This window comes from Homo sapiens, chromosome 1, assembly GCF_000001405.40.
Source record: "Homo sapiens chromosome 1, GRCh38.p14 Primary Assembly".
Classification (NCBI taxonomy): domain Eukaryota; kingdom Metazoa; phylum Chordata; class Mammalia; order Primates; family Hominidae; genus Homo; species Homo sapiens.
The window spans coordinates 84,344,931-84,363,693 of NC_000001.11; the positions used below are offsets into that span (position 1 = coordinate 84,344,931).

At 41.0% G+C, this 18,763-nt stretch overlaps 1 protein-coding gene across 4 annotated transcripts in view; it reads left to right on the forward strand.

The window, feature by feature from the left end:
- Positions 1–5,868, forward strand: part of SAMD13 (sterile alpha motif domain containing 13) — a 52,261-nt gene extending 46,393 nt beyond the window's left edge. For all 4 annotated transcript variants that reach the window (XM_017000377.3, NM_001010971.3, NM_001134663.2 and 1 more), the window contains exon 4: positions 4,701–5,868. In XM_017000377.3, coding sequence (XP_016855866.1) covers positions 4,701–4,844 — 144 coding nt within the window. In that variant the 3' untranslated portion in view covers positions 4,845–5,868. The remainder of the gene's footprint in view (positions 1–4,700) is intronic.
- The last annotated feature ends 12,895 nt before the right edge of the window (positions 5,869–18,763 follow it).

The window sequence follows — 18,763 nt, forward strand, 5'->3', positions numbered from 1 at the left end:
AACATTTGGAGGAGGAACTATGCATTCTCAGGATTCTCAGGTGATGATTTTTCCCTTGGCCTTGTGGGTAAAGCCAGGAGATTCCACTCCTCCATCTTTGATGTGGCTCCCATATTGGACACAGGATTTTCCACTTTTTTATCTCTGGGCTCCAGAGCAAGTACCTCTACCTCTGAGACATTTGAACCCTTTGTAAGCAGCAGACTGAGAAACTTCAGACTGGTCACCATTTGTAGCCAGACAGTAAATGGCAAGAGAGTTGTTACAAAGAAAGTGCTAGAAGATGTGAGGGGGAAGAATGAAGCAGAAAAAGACTGTTTCATGAGATTCCTCCACATCATTGGTAAGAAGTTGCTGCTGTGTTCTTTAACAGGGAGATTTTCATATGAGGCTGGGGTGTTCTGATGCTTATGAAAGACTGAATTGGTGTTTGAGAATGTTTTGAACTAGGATGGACAGAGGTCAGCTTAGTTCAAACCTCTCATTTCACAGAGGAGGGGAATGTGCCAGATGTTGTGTAAGAACCTAGTAAGTAGCAGGCAGAGCATCCATCCCCAGTCTTCTGATTCTAAATTGAGCCTTCTTTCCCTTATGCACCATCTGGGACAGTAGAGGCCACCACCACAAATATGGCCTTCCCAGTCAGCGCAGAGCCCGACCTTCATAAATTCCATTGACTTCTCTTCAATGTGTTTTTCCTGCCCTACCTTGCAATTGCCTAGTTGCCTGTCTTGATGGCTACTCTTTGTCTCTTCCTAGGCTCTTTTCTCTTTGCTACTTCTGTTCCCACCTATTCTTTCTTCCTATACATTTCCCATGGACCATATCACAAATAGCTTCAATTCAGAGTTACCTAGTATAGATTAATGCTGGCAGAGAGAATGAGTGAAAAGTAAATGGGTTGAGATCTTTATATGCTTTTAAAATTTATACATATTTTTTAATTTAAATTTTTTAGAGATAGGGTCTCACTATGTTGCCCAGGCTGGCCTTGAATTCCTGGGCTCAAGCAATCCTCCCACCTCAGCCTCTCAAGTAGCTGGGACTACAGGCATGTACCACCATACTCAGCTTTTATATGCTTTTTTCAATAACTAGCATTTATTGAGTGATCAGTGCATGTCAGGAATTCTACTTCACAAAAGTTACCTCAATAATACTTGCAGCAGTGAAACACAGTAGTTACTTTCCCCCATCACATAGATAAGAAAATGAGGCTTAGAAAAATTCAGTAATGTGCCCCAGGCCCCACTAATAAGCAATAAAGTAGTGTCTTAGTCTAAAGCACATGCTTAGCTAGTGAGCTATAATATCTATGAATCCTACTCATTTATTTTTAAATCTAGATTCTTGCCCTCATTGGAAATTTAAACCTATCATCTCGGAACTTTACTTCCATGCATGAGTACTTGCTGGAACTTAATAAGTATGTAAACATTGTTTATTGCCCAACGGGAACCTGAAGGTTAATTTTACATAAAGACACAATCAATGTCAAAGTTTTACTGACACTAACAAATGATTATCAGTTAACACACAATTCCCAAGATGTGAAATATCTTTTTGTTTTGGACTTCATCATGATGTACATGCAAAATCTTGGTTTTGTTTTGTTTAGCTGGAATTGGTCACACTCCAATCACTTCATTTATATTAATACACAGACTGGGATCCAGAGGAGTTGTTCCTTACGGAAAGTTACTGATAGAGTCTGCAAGAACCTGTCTTCCAGTTTCCAGTCCCAAGCTCATTGTAGCACAGCATGCTGTTGGTAGAATTTGGATTTCACTTGCATCCCATGGACGTTATGTATCAAATTATTAGCTTTCTTAATCAAGGAACTTTCCTGTGTGTACAATTTTTATGAAACGAATGTTTTATGTAGTCTTTGAACTCTTTAATCTCAGTAAATTTTCTGAGCCTAAATAGGAACATGCCTACATCTTCCTGGCAAAGGGGAGCACACTGGCAGAAAGGAAGCAGAAGGTGGATTTGGAATCAGAACACATCCCATTTCTTTCGAAGCCTATCCATTTCCACTTAGTAGTCATTGAGAACCTCCTACATGTCAGGCACTGTGTGCGGTGCTTTGCATCCAGCATTTCTAATCCCTAAAGTCCTTTACTGGTTTATTTCCATCTTAAGGTGAGGAAATTGAGACTCAGGGCAGTTAAGTCCCCTACCCAGGGTCACATAGCAGTTTGGGGAGACAGGATTCAGATTGCGGTTTGCCTGACTGTAAGCTTCATTTCCATTATTCTCTATTCCACTGTCATTCCTTTGAGCTGCTCTAGTCAGGGTTTAAGAGGAATGTTTGGTTGTATGTATGAATTAACTATATTTATTTCAACATTTCTAAAATGAGGATTTCCAGATGGAGCTTTCTTTTACCAACCCTGGTCTGAGGTGAACTGCAGTGTGTCTACTGAACAAAGGGAAAATCAGATTGGAGCATGAAACATGATTTTTCCATTTTGTCTTAAGTAAAATCCAAATTTCAGCATTTTTCACAGGCATACTTGGCTTTTGACAGAAATGCTGAGTTGTCAAAGGACTTTTTGCCAGCAAAGATTTTTTAAAAATTCACTTTGAGTTAGTCGAGGAAGTTTTCTTGGTGTATAGAAATGAAAGCAGTGTCATCTCTTCCTGATGCCTGTTTAAAACATGTAGTAAGTGAAGTGTGAGCACACAACAGCCGAGGAAAGATGGAGGGTAGGAGGGCTTTACCGTTCAGTAAAACATTCCGAGCCTGTGTGCAAGACACAGCGTGAGCTTTAAGGTTACATCTAATTTGGTCTCTGACCTCACAGTGTCTTCAGCACGGCTACTGTGGTTTCCAGGGGCCAGAGGCTCCTCTCCCAACTCTCAGACATGCAGGTTTCACTAATCAGCAATCTCTAGGATTACTACTTGCCTAAATAAGAAGCAAAGTACTTTAGGATTATTGAGTCAATTCCTGTGTCCTTAAGGAATTTTCTGCTCTTTGTACTATGAATCAGCTGCTTTTTAATGTTATAGTCTCTCACAAATTAATATGAGACATTTTGTGTTCTGGTAGCTGACAGAATAAAGATTTCCCAAACTCAAAACCACCATAGACCAGGTAGAAGTAATTCCTTGTTCTGCTCTGGTTCATATTAGGTGGTTGACAAGTAAAATGAGGACCTGGTCCTGTCGAGAATGATGGAAGGGATAATGACAAGTGATTGTATAACTCATAGCTCAGGGAGCATTTGCAAGAGCGGTTTCTCACAGAATCTTGTCAGAAACCCCGCCAAGGAGGAAAGAGAAGAGAAGGGACTTGCCTAAGGTCACAAAGTGGGTGTTTCTTCAGCCGCCTAGCCTGCTGCTAATTCTCCCACACTCTCAGGAACTCAAAGCACATTTCCTTCCCAGCCTGGCAAGCAAGGCACATGAGAGTTGGAGGAGCCGCCCTGGGGATGGTGTGGGAGGGAGTCCGTTTTACGTAGTTGCAGCTACACACGGTGTCCCCATGTCTGTCGGTCAGTGGAGGAGGTAGGTACAGAAGTATGTGGTTATAACCATGCACAGAAATGTCGTGACTCACCGACCATGCACAGCTGGTTTAACTCTTGAATCCAAGTCACCTAGGAACCAGCTCAGGTTCTTAAGAGACGTAAGGTCCCCATAGCAAACAATAACAAAAATAATGTGGCATTCAGCATTCTTCTCAGTGCTTCCTTTCCAAAAGTTTCAAACCACTTTGTATATTTGGGATCCCCATCTCTTTTGTGAGAAGCCTGTTTTTATTTCACCCCAAAGCTTTGTAGTCTCTCCAGAATACCTGGAGTGCAGTGTACCTGACTCTGTGCCTAAGGGTGCAGGGAATGGACTCTGAGCAGAACAGGGAAGGGATTTTCAGCTGGCAGGGCCCTACCCCTCACTACCTTATTTGGAAGTTTGAGGATCCATTGAGAGGGAGTGTGGTAGGGGAACTTATCTTGGAGAGGTTGATTTTTGGGTTGAGGCAGGATGGTTCCCCCTTTAAAGGGCAGGAAAGTCTCCCAGAGGTTGAGTCATTTTTCTAATGCCCAATGTTGCAATTGTGAGGACTCCAGGAAACCTAAGACTCTAGTCCCCATCGGACCATCTAAAAAACATATATTTAAGTATCAGGAGAAGCAGAGGGGGATTATAAAAAGAACATTGGCTTTGGCTGCAGGTATATGAGAGTTCAAATTCTATGCACCCCTTTCCTAACTTCTTGATCTTAGAGGGTGAACTTCTTGCTTGATCCTTCGCTTGCCTGTAAAATAGAAATGATCATCTCTGCCTGTTCTAATTTACAGAGTTGTTTTAGAAATTAAGTTCATGGAAAATTCTGCATAAACTTTAATAGACTTTATAAATGGAAAGTGTCATTATTCTTTTCAGAAGCAGCATCTTTGATCCTTAAGGGTACATGCAGTAAGCTTGCGATCTGTTTTTTAAGATGTGATGTTTGTGATAGGATCTTGAAAGCAAGATCAGCTATAGATTGTGTTTAATGCCAAAGTATAGCTAAAAGCTGTAAGATAAAAATAGAGGATTGCATTTTTTCCATTTTGGCACTACTACAAATGTAATGTTTTTAGCTTGGGCACAAGTGGTGTGACTTTTACCTCTGAACTTCCTTTTGTCTTCATTATCCTTGAGCTTTTGGACTCACATGTTGGCTTTACCTTCTGCTTCCATTATAGGAAATTGATGGAAAATCCCTGCTATTGATGACAAGAAATGATGTGTTGACAGGACTTCAGTTAAAATTGGGGCCTGCTCTGAAAATCTACGAATATCATGTAAAACCTCTGCAGACAAAGCATTTAAAGAACAACTCTTCATAGTACAGTCAAATTGGGGTCTTCGACCTCAAAAAATACATAATGACATAATTTAGTTTCATGTAATGAAACTTTGTAAACAGAATACATACATGTGTATATGTAAAGAATTTCAATCAAATGAAACGTTATCCTATTGGATAGACTAGGCAATTCATCAGCTCACCTGAAATCAGCCAGGAGGAGCAAGGACAAGATGCGCACAGGGTGGTTTTCCTCATGGATTTTGTCAAATAGATGATCTTTGACACGATTAGACACTCCTCCCCACAAAGGCTTTGAAATCATAAGGATTTTCCTCATCTCTTTATAGCTTTCCCAAAATCTTTTAAAAAAGAATTTAATTAAATGACAGTCTTTTGGTTACAGACTTAGGATGAGTAAAAACAAGAAAATTTGGGGAGGGGGAGAAAGAAGAAAGGGATTGCTGTCTCCCTTGAATTCCTCTGTTCCTTAGAGCTTGTGTTACTTGGACGGAATTGCCAACACCCTTTTTTATAGAGGGTTCTCCACTTGACCTTATTAAGGTTTTATTGGGATATGCTGCAGTGTTTGAAATGAACATGCATCATGGCCCCTTCAGGAGCAGAATCATAGCTCTGAAAAGAGAAGCTCCGTTGTGTACTGAGGATATCCATCCATATTCAGCTAGCTTTCAAATGGGGTAACGATATTTTCTGCATAGATTTTCTTTTAAATTGGTTCTTTGTTTCTGAAGAAAGAATTTTTTTTAACTTCATGGTTTTATTTATAATAATTTGTTTCTGAAGAAATTTGCCGAGAGTTACAGGTCAAAAAGCCTTGTTACTAGTACAGAATATTTTTATATATATTCCTTCATGATGGTGTAATTTTTTTTAATTGTCCTATGCTTTGTTCGGTTCCTGGGTTAAGTACTTGTTTTTAAGAGCTTGGAAAAAGTGGGCTTGCTACATCTCTGTTCAAAGAGACATTTGTTCAATCTCTGTGTGTCAACGCCTTGTTGAATTGGTGCTTTGTGGTTGCAATAAAGCATTGCTTCAGTTTATTGCCAGTGTATCTTTGATCTTTTCTGTTTGGTTGCTTCTTCAGTTGGGATTAAGGATTAAGGTCTCCTGGAAACCAGGGAAAGAAAATTAAGCATTTTTTGGGGAAAAAACTTTAGAGGTAGAAATTATACAAATCTATGTGTGGATTTATCTTCTTTTTAAAGTGAATCATTCGAGTAGATCTCATTTCTTCTCTCATCCCCAATTTTAGGTATTATTTTAGCCAAAGATTTTTTTGTTTGCTGTAGGCCAGTGGGGGTCATGATTTTTTTGAAATTCTAATAATAAAAGCTATTGACTTTCTCTGCAGACAAAAGCTCACATTTCCACATACAAAACTTGCAGAGAGTTGGTGGACTCATAATTTCCCTCTTCCTCCTCCTCAAGTTAAGAGTTCCTATTTTAGAGAATATCATAATTCAGTCCCCTGTGGAGATAATTTCTTGAAAGAACAGAAAGTCTGAAGATGACAGTGAAAAAAAACACAGGAAGTGGTATAGATAGTAGGTGGGTTTAAAAATGCATTCCAAATTAATTCAATTATAGAGCGTACGGAGTATCTGAAATTTAAGTAATGCTTTGTTTTCACTGTAACTGGGAAAAGTGGTTACAAAAGAGACTTTTTTTTAAATCTCCAAGTTCCCACAGTCTACCTAAGACAGAAAACGCAAGTAAAAGGCAAAATATATAGTTAAGTGTTGTGAGGAGTGATGGAGACAAAAGGTGACAACTGCAGCTGCTGGAGACCTGGATAGGAAAGAAGGGATTCCTGGATCAAGCAGAAGGAAGATGGAATGAGGATCTTGATGAAAACCTCTGTGAAGGAGTGTCCTGCTGTAAAATCTGATGATGTTTGACCCGTCTCTACCTCAAAGGGATAGTATGAGGTATTTCTGAGCCCTAACTTTTGTGCACCCACCTGATACCTTCTGTAGTCGTTTGGAATAGGTTTGGTTGTGAGTGATGGAAACTGTCTCTCCCACCCCCACCAATTAATAAACTAGATAGACACCTACTTCCCTCTCATGGAAATGTCCAGATAGGGGGACCAGAGGTGGTGTGGCCCTACATGATGGTAGGAACACAGTTTCCGCCTATGTTTTTTTTCCACCATGCATGACATCCATTCCCAGAATCATTTCATAAATAGATGCTGCTTCTTTGCCATCATCATTTGAATTCCAACCAGTGGGGAGAAGAAAGGGGAAAGGAACAGACCTTCCTTTAAGGATACTTCCAAGAAGTTGTTCATACTACTTCCTTTCATATCTTGTGGACTGGAAGTCAATCACATTACTTGAAATATTTCATGTTTTTATTGGAAACCATGAGCCCAATCAAAACTCAAAGTTCCATTATTCTGTAGATAAAGGAAAGTGGATATTGAGGGACAACTTGCTGTTACCGATGTCAGCTGACCACTAAACACTCATAGCAAATGACACTAAAAGGGTTTCTTTGGTGGTATTTTTCTTGAGATTTGAACTCGCGTTCAACTAAGTCAACTAAACCTCAGATTTGGACTGCTCTAGGAGTACTTGGGGGTGAGGGGAATTGAAAAGCAAACAGAAAAGTATAAAATCATCCCTCAGTCTCTGATAAGAGCTTTCAGGCAAAATTAGCAATTTAAAGATAATCTGCCTCTCCTACAGTCAGCATAAAGGCCTAGGACAGGCAGGCCTGCACACCTTGGCAATAGCTCAAGGTGATTTCATCTTCCTCTGTTTAGGGGAAAACCAATGTGATCAAAATAGGCCAAAAAGAGAGGCTGGAAGTACTTGAAATTCAGCAGGTAGGCAGCCTTTGTCTCCAGACAGCTGTAAAAACCAGAAACGTCTGATTTCTTTTCAGATCACACTGGATTTCTATTCATGTGATCTAGATCTGCAATGAGTAGCAGACACATGTGCTGTGAGGGGAAGCACTTCATGGCTGTGATGTGCCCATAATGGTGAAGGTTTATATGAGAATTGGCTAATGTTGAATTTGATTATTCTCAACCAGAGAAGCAGACAGGATATCAGAATCAGAAGGAATTTAAGAAAGTAATTGCTACTCCCCGCCGCCCCCACATTTGAACCTCTGATTCAGACTCTGCAGAGGAGATTGAATGAATTGATTTAAAGGTGAGGTCACAAACTGGCCACTTTTCAGTGGAATCTAAGCCAACATGTTTTACTTTGGCCAATGCAGTATGTGTGTGTTTTAAAAACCACATTTACACACTTCTAGTGAGGCTGAAAACTCCAATTTGTTACTCTTCCATTCCCTAATTTCTTAAAACCAGCAACTTCACACTTAAGTTAATGGGCCTCTGAAGGCAATTGAGACATCAGTTTTAGACACCCCCCCGCCAAACACACACCCAACCCGATCTAAAACAAAAAACAGAAAAACAGTGAGTTCATTCAGGAATTGAAAATTGCAAATAGATTCAACTGAAAAGAAAACAAGCTAGCATATCACATTAGAATGTGCAGCAGATTTGAGCATCATTTTTTATACCTAGTGGGCCTGATGAATATGAGGAAAAAAAGGCCAATTGGTAGCAGTCTTTTCTTTCTGTCCTCAACAAATATCCTACGTGAATACAGGGTGGTTTTTTTGTTTGTTTGTTTTTGTTGTTGTTTGTTTGTTTGAGACGGAATCTCCCTCTGTTGCCCAGGCTGGAGTGCAGTGGCACGATCTCAGCTCACTGTAACCTCCGCCTCCCGGGTTCAAGCAATTCTCTGCCTCAGCCTCCCGAGTAGCTGGGATTACAGGCACCCGCTACCACACCCGGCTGATTTTTGTATTTTTATTAGAGACAGGGTTTTACCATGTTGGCCAGGCTGGTCTTGAATTCCTGACCTCGTGATCCACCTGCCTCGGCCTCCCAAAGTGCTGGGATTATAGGCGTGAGCCACCGCACCGGCCAAATACAGGTTTTTGTCCCTCTGAGATTAGCATCTGCAGTCAGGGACACACACTGTCCTTCAGTTGCATTAGTGAAATATATCTTTGGGGGAATTTAATTTGCAAAAGTCTAATGACCCACAGTTGCCCAGCCACTCCCATATTTGGAAGCCAAATGCAAAAAGGACTTACTGGTGGTGATTCATCTGTCTTTGACAGTCCTTGTAAATGGGATCTGCAGGGGTCAGGTCTGGGCCCAGAGCCATTAAGTGTTTTTTGGAATGATTTGGAAGATGAAGTTAAATGTTCAAAGAGCTGACTGCTGCAGGACAGATATGCCTCTTAGGAGAAAACTTGTTAATTCTGCTTCTAAACCAGGAACAGAAGCCACAGGAAGGAGAGAGCGAGCAATGGATGCATTAATGAACAGCTCGTTAGTTTCATGCTGTAGCTCCATGGGAAATTAAGGAGTCTGGGTACCATTTCTAGCCAGTCATGGCAGTACTATACAGCAAGAAGATTAAAATGATCACATCCAAGTTCATTTGGTGAGTGTGGCTGTCTTACATCTTAGAATCCCTTGGAGGTGGTGAACCCCAAGGAAGAATTGTGTCTAGCCTAGCACTGGAGCATAATAATGGAGGATCTTGTGGCTAAAGCAAGTTGATGTCCCTGCACTTCAGTTAAGTCAGAGTGTTCCTGTCCACAACTGTCTTCAGGGAGAAATCAAGAAAGCTGGGGATGCCAGGCCATTTCCAAATAGAAACTGTGCCCCTCTTCCACAGGACAAGTACACGAGCCAAACTACCACCTTTTTTAAAGAAGTGGGAAAAGGGTAAGTAAAGGTGTAAATAATACTGAACATACTCGTTACCTGCAGAGGATGCCTCACTCAACCAGATAAAGGGAAATATGCTGCAAAATGTTTGATGTTATTACCCAGGCACCATCCATGGGGCATCTTTGGTCAGAGGGGTTAGAGGCCTTAAGCTTCCAGCAAAGTGAGATAAAGCAACCAAGGAAAGTTTTGCCATGAGGGCCTCCAGCTCTGTCACTGGATATCTGTGGCAAAGTTTTCCAAATTAAATGTCTTCTTTCTGAATCAAAGGCAGCAGAAGCATTCAGCAGAAGCATTCAGCAAATTGTGTTTCATAGCCTTTTTCAATGATTACATTCTATTTTTATGTGCTGGGGAATATGTGATTTGGGAATAATACTATAGAATTCATCAGATTATAAGCACATTTTGAGTGAAAGTCAGTAAAACTCCAAGCCACCAGCAGTTTCTGCCTATAATAATTAGTGTTTGGGATAGTATTCTGTCTGCTATACCTGAACCCAACGACACCAGTTGAGATACACAGTAGGTAGTGGGTGAAGTCACTGAGGTTGCACCAGATAGACTTGAGCTTGAATCCAGTCCCGACATTTACTTGACATGGGAACTTGGGTAAGTCCTATGGCTCCTCTTAGCCTCAGGAACTTCATCTATTCTCTAGTGCAGATGCAGAAACAGAGTGGAGCAGCACCAGCCTAGCAGTGCCCAAAAGAAACAGAATGTGAGCCATTTATATAAATTAAAATTTTCCAGTAGTCACATTTGGAAAGGTGACCCAGGAAAAAATAATTTAAATAATATAATTTTAAGCCAATTTATCCAAATATTATAGTTTTAATATATAATCAATGCAAAAATTATTGATCATATATTTTATAAAATCTTTTCATTTGCCTTTGAAATCCAGTGTGTATTTCATACTTACTGCACACCTCAATTAGGACAATGTAGCTCAAGTGTATCATTCAGGGTTAGTTTTAGTTGATAAAAACAACAGTGACTTAAGATAGAAATTCTCTATGATGCATATGAGTTGAAGGTGAGCAGTTCAGGGATGGCAGGGCTGCTACATAATGATTGGGTCTCATTCCTCTTGTGTGGCTCCACCATCCTCAACACATAGTTCCCTATGTAGTCCAACGTGGCTGCTTGGGCTTCAGCTATCACAACTGCATTCCAGCCAAGAAAAAGAGATAAAGAAGGACACCTCATATGAGAAACTGTGCTTATCTCTTTCCCTGACATCCCTTTAACAAGAACTTAGTCATTTGGTGATACCTAGCTGTAGCGGAGGTTGGAACTGTAGTCTTTATTTCAGGAAGCCAAGTATCCAGATAAACAAGGACAGGAGGGTGGATACTTTGGAGAAGCCGGCAGTTCTTCTATAGTACCAGTCTCATAAGGTGATGGAGGACTGAATGAGAGTACACTGTACAGTTGTTTGTATTACATTAAAAGTGCATTAAAATATAGTTTTATTACTATGATCTCATTCCATTTCAAGCTCAGTACTGTCACAGAATTAATGTATGCTGAACCTAAATACTGCTGATTGGATGCATCCTAATACCGCTAAAAAACAAAATTATTTTTATAGGTGGATGAAAATGGATATTGGGTGGTTCTAGATGCTTTGTTTTCAAAAGGCCACATAAACAAAAAAACAAAAACAAAAAAAAAAAAACAAAAAACTTGCATCATTTAAGCTCCCTGAAAAATTGTTATGTTGAGTTAAGGGAAATGTGCTAAGCAAAATGCATATACATTTTTATTGGTCCCCAAAGACTTAGAGAAGTTGGTTTGAGGCATTGGTGAATTCCAAATGGATCCTGTCCCCAATCCAAAATGAGTGTTCAATGACATTCAAAATGGTTTTGTGAGACTAATGAAAGGGAGGTCCTGATACTGTTGTGATTTAAATGAAGGTATATGTGGGTCATAAACAAACAGAAAAAAATTTTAATAAAATTGAAAAAACCTGAGTGGAGCTGCATTCATTAATTTGAGCCAATTAGGTTGACACTAGTCTGCTAAATTGTCTATTTGGGCAAATTTCTATTAAGAATTTTTAATACTAAGGTGACTTCTTGCCACCAGAATGTCTACAGGTTATTAATCAGCCTTCCGTATGGTGTGTATACAGAATGCAAAGTAAGTTAACATTGGCCTAATCCACACATAGTTAAAAAGGAAAACTGTGGAGCTATGCATCCACAGTGGTGGATGCAGGGAATCCTGGACTAGGGGTCAGAAGACCTGGGTTCTGGTCCCAGATCTCCCGTTAACATATCCACAAGACTTTGTACAAGTCTTAACCTCTCTTGCTTCAGTTGCTACTAAAATAAACATGTCCAATTAGAGGTTTATTTCAGCACTCAATTTCTATGATTTTCTAAAAATGCAATGATCTGAGTTATATGTGTCACTGGCCCCCTCCACCATTCAATTAAAACTCACAGCACTGTCACATTCTACAACGTCATTTCCCTTTCATAAATGTTCTAAAGTTTTGGTCTGATTATGGTTCTCTCTGTGAAGTAAGCTGGAACAGCTGTTTTATCTTGAGAATTGTCAAGTTGGCTGATTGCATAACCCTATAGCTTTAAGTTTAAATCACTCTCACTGTGTTCCATGGTAGAAGCATCCCCCAGGAATAGGCCCTCTACACAATCAGATCTTAGAGTTCAGGGGGTAGGGGAAGCACAGATTTCCTTGGTAGATCACTGGGAGTGATAGCAAGTGGGACCATTCTTATTTCTACATCTTGGTTACCAGATCCACATGTTCTACCTATTGGGGACATAACACAATACAAGAGCCAAGTATTTAGGGAATGCACTGCATCCTGGAGGACAGTAACCCATCATCACAGGGTATTATCTCCAAGCTGACATCTCAGTTGTGCCTTTAAGAGATTATTCCATCGCTCTCTCAGGCCAGCAGCTTTGGGATAGTAAAGTATGTGATAGGACTATATGATCACTTACAGCTTGCCTTTACTTTAAAGAGGGTCTCTTTGTCCCTTGGTCTGAGTGACGTTATGTGGAATTCTGTAAGCCCTTGGATAGTGGTGCTGACTGAGACCCTGCGGGCAGGAAAGACAAAGCCGTATCCAAAATATGTATCCATTTTAGTCAGGATTAATCACTAACCTTTTCAAAGTAAAAGGGGCCCAATGTGTTTAACTTGCTGCCAAGTAGGTGCCATATCAAGGTCTCCCTCATTATTGGTCTCTACTGCTGGAAGTTTGGATATTTGTTAGCAACCGTTAATATTAGTAATGGAAAGCCAGATCCCTGGCTTTTGGGCCCGTGTATGTCCTCTACCTCTGCCACCATGGCTATTCATGAGTTCCTTGTACCAGCGCTGGGATTGCCAATGACAAAGGCCGACTGACATCCACTGGCAAAATCAATCTGTCTGCTTGATTGTTTAGTGTCTCATCCATGGTTGATGCTCTTCGGTGGACATTAAGATGCAAAGCAAAAATCTTCACATTTCATGTCCACCCACACAGGTCCCTTTACAAGCTCCTTTCCTCTGACCAATCTCCTAATCTTTCTCATTCCAAGTGTCTAACCAACCAACCAAGCCAATTGCCACTGCCCACAAGTTTGTATATATTATTACCTAGAAACACATTACACACAAAGTAGATGATTCTTTGGTGTATTTCCTAAAACTGTATTCATTGGGAGGATTTTCCTTCACCACTGTCATAAGAACCACCTTCTCCTTAATGGCCATAGTGTGAGAGGCACTGGAGAAACAGCAGTGGGTAACATGGGGATCTGGGCCACCTGCTCATGTGCCTTTCTTGTGCCCTCTAGCCCTACCTCTACCTACTCCTGGCTCTCTCATTTCCATATTGCTATGGATTGCTGCTGGGCCTGCCAGACCCTAATACTTGGTGGGTTTGATAGAAACCAGCTTATGATGAGCAGCTCTGGCCACAAAATCTGTTGAAGTTCCATGGTCAGACTTTAGTGTTTACTAAAACCCAGTAACACACCAGGAGCTATTTTTCAAATGGTGAATGATTCCCTGCTACCGATAGCACAGCCTTACTCCAGAACCCTGGGAGTTTATGTTGTAAATTTCCCATTGGGTCTTGGCAGATATATGTAAAACATATATTTGGTCTTCACCCAACTTCCTGGCATACAACTCCTCAAATCCTTAGAATCTCTAAAACGATGTCTTTTTGTATGCTAATAATTGACTGATGGCAAGCAGTCCCTAGGTAGCTTCAGGATGAGGTCTGGTCACTGGAAAGACTGAGGTTTGATTAGAGGGTTTGGACTTTCAGTCCACTCTCAACCACTGGGAAAGAGAAAGGGACTGAAGGTTAAGTTGATCACCAATGGCCAATGACGTAATCAATCAATCCTATGTAGTGGGGCCTCCATAAAAACCCAAAAGGGCATGGTTCGAAAAGCTTTCAAATAGCTGAACCTATGGAGGCTCTTAGAGGATGGTGCACCTGGGGGTTGGAGGGAGCATGGAAACTCTGTGCCTCTTCCCCCATACCTAACCGTATGCATCTTTTCATCTGAACCCTTTGTAATATCCTTTATAATAGATTGCTGAATGTAAGTAGGTGTTTCCCTGAGTTTCAGGAGCTGCTCTAGCAAATTAATCTAACCCAAGGAGGGGTGTGTGTGGGATCCCTGATTTATAGCCAGTTGGTCAGAAGCACAGGTAAAACAACCTGGAGCTTGAGATTGGTGTCTGAAAGCTGCATGGAGTGGGGCGGTGGTGGCAGTCTTGGGCATTAATTCCTTAACCTGTGGGATCTGATGCTATCTCTAGGTAGATAGAGTAAGAATAGAATGGAATTAGAGGATACTTAAAGGGTGCCTGCTGCAGAATTGATTGCTTGCTTGTTGGTGGAGAGAAATCCCCAAACATTTGGTCACAGAAGTGTTCTATGTTGATTGTTATTGTTGACTGAGAGAATAAATACTTGTGAGTGTGTTTTTGTCCATTCACGGACCCACACAGCATCTTCCCCAATCAGAGACATCTCTAATAGCATAGAATTTGCTGATTCACGTGGTTCAAGCAGAAGGAATATTTGTATCCAGTCTGGACCTACTCCAGTGCCTTTTACTTCTCTGGGCCCCACACAAAGTTGGAAGCCTTCCTTGCCACCCAGTAAATGTGTTGGAGCAGTATTACCATGTGTGGAATATGAGTCTTCCAAAACCAAAGAGAATACCAAGCACTGTGCTTTCTTCCTAGTGGTAGAAAACTTGAGATGCAATAATGTGTCCTTTATTTGGGAAGGGATGTCCTATAATACCCTCATCAAACTTTTCCTATAAAGGGTCAAAGGGTAAAAAATTTTAGGCTTTGTGTACCAAATAGTCTTTGTTTCAACTACTAACTTTGCCATTATAACATGAAAACAGTCATAGGCAATATATAAGCAAATGTGCATGGCTGTATTCCAATAAAACTTTATTTACAAAAACAAGTGGTGGGACAGATTTCACCAATCCTTGTCCTAGACCACCAGACTGCTAAAAATGTCACTAATGTGGTGGGCCTTTGATGGGTTTATCTACCATTCTCCAGAGTACAAGTGTCACTTCTTGGTCATTCAGTCCAATTAACATAGTCTCATGGGTATAATGGACCAATTTAATGTCCCAGGGAATGTCCTGATGATCGTGGTCCCATATACAAAGGCTAGAAAATTTAATGTCATCCTGGGGCAAGACCATAAATGTATGCAACTGTCCATCCATGTGAATGGAAACTGCTTCTCTTCTTGCTTCTTGATTTGAAAATTAGATGGGCTTTATCCAGCACCCATGTATAATCTTCCAGCTTTTATATATATTAGCTGGGCCTTTGCCACTCTTTTGGCCTGTGGTCTCCTTCTTTCCTTAACAAGCCCAGCATATGTCTAGCTGGTGTACGATGTGACTTACCCTATTTATAGATCTGGTGGTCAGGAGGTGGGGATATATCACAAGGAGGCATGTGTTTCCTTGTAGGCAGAAGCTTCTGCATTGTCTTCAAGCAAGAGGGGCAGTGCTAGCTTTTAACAAGGAGAAATAGGCCAGTTCTGCAGGCACAGAGAATTCAGGTAAAGCTGAGGATTCAAGATTTCAAGTGCATCAATCTGGACCCTGACCTTAGTGTGACAGACCTGTCAAGGGTGGAGAATTCAATTTTCCTTGGAGCTCTGCTATTCTAATAATTAAGACCTGGGTCTCCTAAGCTTTTTCTGCCATCTAGATGTATACTGTCTTTATATGTTGCCAAGGAGGCCCTCTTGCTTTCATGCTCACTTTATATTAGTTATTAATCATCCTCAATTTTTCATTGCCTTTCTTTACTAATGGTCCCCAGTGACACCCATTCAAATTCCATAGTGCTTATAATAACCGTTTCCCCCACACCTCTCAAGCATTTGAGATTTTGCCCCTGCCAATGTATTCCTTTCTCCAGTATCTTATCCCAATTCACCTCTGCAGACGGTTTTAACAATTGTGTGATTACAGTATTACAAAGGCTCATTGCTAGTGAGCCAGCGGGTGATCCAGCTCCAAAATCCCATTTTCGAGTCTCCTTCCTGGAACTCTTAGTATCACAGGTCAGCATCCCCATGAAAAATACAGTAAGACCCTGAGATTGTCATGCAGAAGGCACCAGAGCATCTTTAACAGGAGCTTTATCCCCCATTTTGTGGCCATAGAGAAAACATTACCATATACTGAGGATAGCAGGGCAAAGGGTGGAATGAGCCTGAGTCCTGATGCCATGACTGAATTAGCCATCCCATCCTGGGATAGCCTACTTCTTAAACTTCTGAAGCAAGCATGATGTCCTTTCTGTTTAAGACACTCTTAGGTATTCAGTTACTTGCAGCCAAAGGCATTCTAGCTCTAATCTCAGTTAATGCTTCACTACCCTGTGCTGTGAGGTAGGGGTTATTATTATTCCCATTTCATAAACAAGAGAGCTTAAGCTTAGAGATTACTTGCTCGAGATCACACAACTAGAAATTGGTGGAGCCCAGTCTAAACCTTAGTACTATCTGCATCCAAAGTCCGTGCTCTTTACCCTTTTATAAAAATCTATGTGACAAGTGATCAAACCAGGAGGGGTATGGCACCATCCCCCAGATCTGAAGGGAAGAGGAGCTTATGTATAGCTAAGATCCACATACACCAGAAGAGCTGCCCTTAAACAGCTCACTGACCTCTTACTTTGTGTATTGGGTTGAATGGGTCTCAAAACAGAGACCATGCCTTCACTGTCAGAACCTGCAAATGTGACCTTACGTGGAAAAAAGATCTTTGCAGATGTCATTAAGGATCTTGAGGATCTTGTCTTAAGGTTATCCAGGTGGGCCCCAAATCTAGTGACCAGTGTCCTTATAAGAGTCATACAGGGAAAACCTGCCAGACAGAAAAAGGAGGAAGCAATGCGGCCATGGAGGCAGAGACTAGAGTGATGCAGCTGTGAGTCAAGGAACCCCTGAAGGCATGAGAGGCTGGAAGAGGCAGAAACAGAATCTCCCCTGGAGTCTTTGGAAGTAGCACCCGGCCCACACCTTGATTTTGGACTCTGGCCTCCAGAACTATGAGGGAATAAATCTCTATTGTTTTACACCACCAAGTTTATGGTAATTTGTTATGGCAGCCTCAGGAAACTAATACTACGTTTATTTCTTTCTTATGTAAAGGTGAGCAGTATACTTTCTAAGTTTGATTGAATATATTCCTCATGTGGCAAATTTCTGTTGGAATCCTTTATACTTTAAAGATAATGTGTGAACTACTTCCTTAGCAGAGGTAGAGGCACCTGTAGAGACATGAATGAGCATTTTTCTGGGAAGAAGGTCCATAGCCATCATATTCTCAATAGGGTCTTGATAGGCTCCACAAAACTAAGAATTTCTGAGAGGGAGCCTGGGCAAATGGAAGAATGACAGGTAGCTAAGCTCTAAGAGAAACAAGTGCTAAGACTGTGAAACATACAGAGAATAAGTTTCAAGTATGCGGAAGCCGGAAGGTCCTGTGTGTGTCTGGTTAGAAGGCTTCAAGTCAATCTCTTTGGGAAAGAAGCTTTGCCTTCCTCATGAGTTCAGACAAGAAAGCAGAACTCGTAAAGGTCTAGCAAAGGCGACTGCAAAGGGCCAACTCCACACAGCTCAGAGTCCGGAGGAAAGGAAACGCTCCTTCTGGACAAAGTATAAAGAGGTTAGGAAAATTTCAAATTTCTCTAGTTAAAATCTGCCGGTATTGAAGAAGGTAAATTCTGTTACAATGACAAATCAATAAAATGCTGCCTCAAAAGACTTATTACGCTTCTATATTGGGGTAGAAAAAAGAAAGGGAAAACATTGGTGTCTAAAAATAAGGAATGGTATGAACTTAAGTCTGACTCTAAAAAGGAAAAGGAAAAGGAAGGAGATATATTTTCTGAGTCTATCACTATGAAAATTATGAGATGAAATTTAAAGAATATGAAACAAACCTCAGGCAGAATCTTGGCTACCAAAACCACAAGCCCCACATGACAGCCTGCTCCATTGAATGCCATGGAAACTGCCTCCCCGGCAGCACGTGGGCTTGGAACTACTTGCACGATTCCTCCATGAAAGTACTTGAGATAGGGTTGGGGTAAGCAGAGAGAGTGAGTGAGGAGACAGAAGAGTGTTGTAAGGGCAGCTCTGCTTCCCAGAGAACTGGAACTGAATCCCTGGAGGCTTCCTAGCAAAATCATGAAGTGTTTTTAAAACAAATTGCCTCACAAGTGTTTACAGTTCAGTTCTGCCTGCCTGTCTGCCGAACTGAAAGGAACAGGTGAAACCCAAAGCTGGTTTTCAGCCCCATCGTTCACAATTCTAAGAAGGAAACATCCTTCACAAAACAGGAACTTTGTCCTTGAAAATTTCACATACTACAGGCTTTCCTGCCACATACCTGGGATATAACATCCAATAGCTCATTTGCAATCTATTGCAGTAAATGTGCTAAGAGCTAAGGAGAAGCAAAATGCACATATGTATAAATGGGCCACAATTTCTAAGGATTCTGCTCTAACATGGGTTTCTTCTCTGAAGCAAATACAGTGTTTCTAAAACTTACAAGAATAAGAGAACATCAAGTAAGAAAGGCCTAATTAAGTCGGGGTTTTTG